The sequence below is a fragment of the Homo sapiens genome, chromosome Y, assembly GCF_000001405.40.
Source record: "Homo sapiens chromosome Y, GRCh38.p14 Primary Assembly".
In the NCBI taxonomy this organism is placed as follows: Eukaryota; Metazoa; Chordata; class Mammalia; order Primates; family Hominidae; genus Homo; species Homo sapiens.
In genome coordinates, this window is record NC_000024.10 from 13,563,586 (window position 1) to 13,565,811 (window position 2,226).

The 2,226-nt window shown below is 48.4% G+C and overlaps 1 annotated feature.

Moving 5' to 3' along the window:
- Positions 1,466 to 1,966: an enhancer, noted in NCBI's record as "H3K27ac hESC enhancer chrY:15676931-15677431 (GRCh37/hg19 assembly coordinates)". NCBI's record gives its function as "activates a minimal SCP1, AML or CMV promoter by ChIP-STARR-seq in primed H9 embryonic stem cells {active_cell/tissue: H9 hESC(primed)}" and the evidence as "EXISTENCE:reporter gene assay evidence [ECO:0000049][PMID:30033119]".

A 2,226-nucleotide genomic window follows, 5' to 3' on the forward strand; every position in this document is an offset into this window, starting at 1 on the left:
ATGTTGAATATTGGCCCCCACTCTCTTCTGGCTTGGAGGGTTTCTGCCGAGAGATCCGCTGTTAGTCTGATGGGCTTCCCTTTGAGGGTAACCCGACCTTTCTCTCTGGCTGCCCTTAACATTTTTTCCTTCATTTCAACTTTGGTGAATCTGACAATTATGTGTCTTGGAGTTGCTCTTCTCGAGGAGTATCTTTGTGGCATTCTCTGTATTTCCTGAATCTGAACGTTGGCCTGCCTTGCTAGATTGGGGAAGTTCTCCTGGATAATATCCTGCAGAGTGTTTTCCAACTTGGTTCCATTCTCCCCATCACTTTCAGGTACACCAATCAGACGTAGATTTGGTCTTTTCACATAGTCCCATATTTCTTGGAGGCTTTGCTCATTTCTTTTTATTCTTTTTTCTCTAAACTTCCCTTCTCACTTCATTTCATTCATTTCATCTTCCATTGCTGATACCCTTTCTTCCAGTTGATCGCATCGGCTCCTGAGGCTTCTGCATTCTTCACGTAGTTCTCGAGCCTTGGTTTTCAGCTCCATCAGCTCCTTTAAGCACTTCTCTGTATTGGTTATTCTAGTTATACATTCTTCTAAATTTTTTTCAAAGTTTTCAACTTCTTTGCCTTTGGTTTGAATGTCCTCCCATAGCTCAGAGTAATTTGATCGTCTGAAGCCTTCTCTCAGCTCGTCAAAGTCATTCTCCATCCAGCTTCGTTCCGTTGCTGGTGAGGAACTGCGTTCCTTTGGAGGAGGAGAGTTGCTCTGTGTTTTAGAGTTTCCAGTTTTTCTGTTCTGTTTTTTCCCCATCTTTGTGGTTTTATCTACTTTTGGTCTTTGATGATGGTGATGTACAGATGGGTTTTCGGTGTGGATGTCCTTTCTGTTTGTTAGTTTTCCTTCTAATAGACAGGACCCTCAGCTGCAGGTCTGTTGGAATACCTTGCATTGTGAGGTGTCAATGTGCCCCTGCTGTGGGGTGCCTCCCAGTTAGGCTGCTCGGGGTCAGGGGTCAGGGACCCACTTGAGAGGCAGTCTGCGGGTTCTCAGATCTCCAGCTGCGGGCTGGGAGAACCACTGCTCTCTTCAAAGCTGTCAGACAGGGACATTTAAGTCTGCAGAGGTTACTGCTGTCTTTTTGTTTTTCTGTGCCCTGCCCCCAGAGGTGGAGCCTACAGTGGCAGGCAGGCCTCCTTGAACTGTGGTGGGCTCCACCCAGTTCGAGCTTCTGGGCTGCTTTGTTTGCCTAAGCAAGCCTGGGCAATGGCGGGCTCCCCTCCCCCAGCCTCGCTGCCGCCTTGCAGTTTGATCTCAGACTGCTGTGCTAGCAATCAGCGAGACTCCGTGGGTGTAGGACCCTCCGAGCCAGGTGCGGGATATAGTGTCGTGGTGCGCCGTTTTTTAAGCCGGTCTGAAAAGAACAATATTCGGGTGGGAGTGACCCGATTTTCCAGGTGGGTCCATCACCCCTTTCTTTGACTCGGAAAGGGAACTCCCTGACCCCTTGCGCTTCCCAGGTGAGGCAATGCCTCGCCCTGCTTCGGCTCCCGAACGGTGCTTGCACCCACTGGCCTGCGCCCACTGTCTGGCACTCCCTAGTGAGATGAACCCGGTACCTCAGATGGAAATGCAGAAATCACCCGTCTTCTGCGTCGCTCACGCTGGGAGCTGTAGACCGGAGCTGTTCCTATTCGGCCATCTTGGCTCCTCCTGCTGATCCTTTTTTGTTTTTCAGACTCAAGGAAAATTCCTTAAAAGCTTTTGGCCAGGCACGGTGGCTCATGACTGTAATCCCAGCACTTTGGGAGGCTGAGGTGAGTGGATCACAAGGTCAGGAATTCAAGACCAGCCTGACCAACGTGGTGAAACCCGCATCTCCACTAAAAATACAAACATTAGCTGAGCATGGTGGCACATGCCTGTAATCCCAGACATTCAGGAGGCTGAGGCAGGAGAATTGCTTGAACCCGGGAGGTGGTGATTGCAGTGAGCTGAGATTGAGTCACTGTGATCCAGCCTGGGTGACAGAGTGAGACTCTGCCTCAAAAAAAAAAAAAAAACACACACACACACACAAAAACACCTTCTTTCAACAACTGAGCAAGGTATACTCCTATGAACAAAATTTCGAACATGTTTATTTCTCTCTGCCTAGTTCTTCTAAAATTCAAAAACTAGTTATGACTGTTTTTTTACTTACAACAGTATAGTTGTTTGCATCAGTGCAACA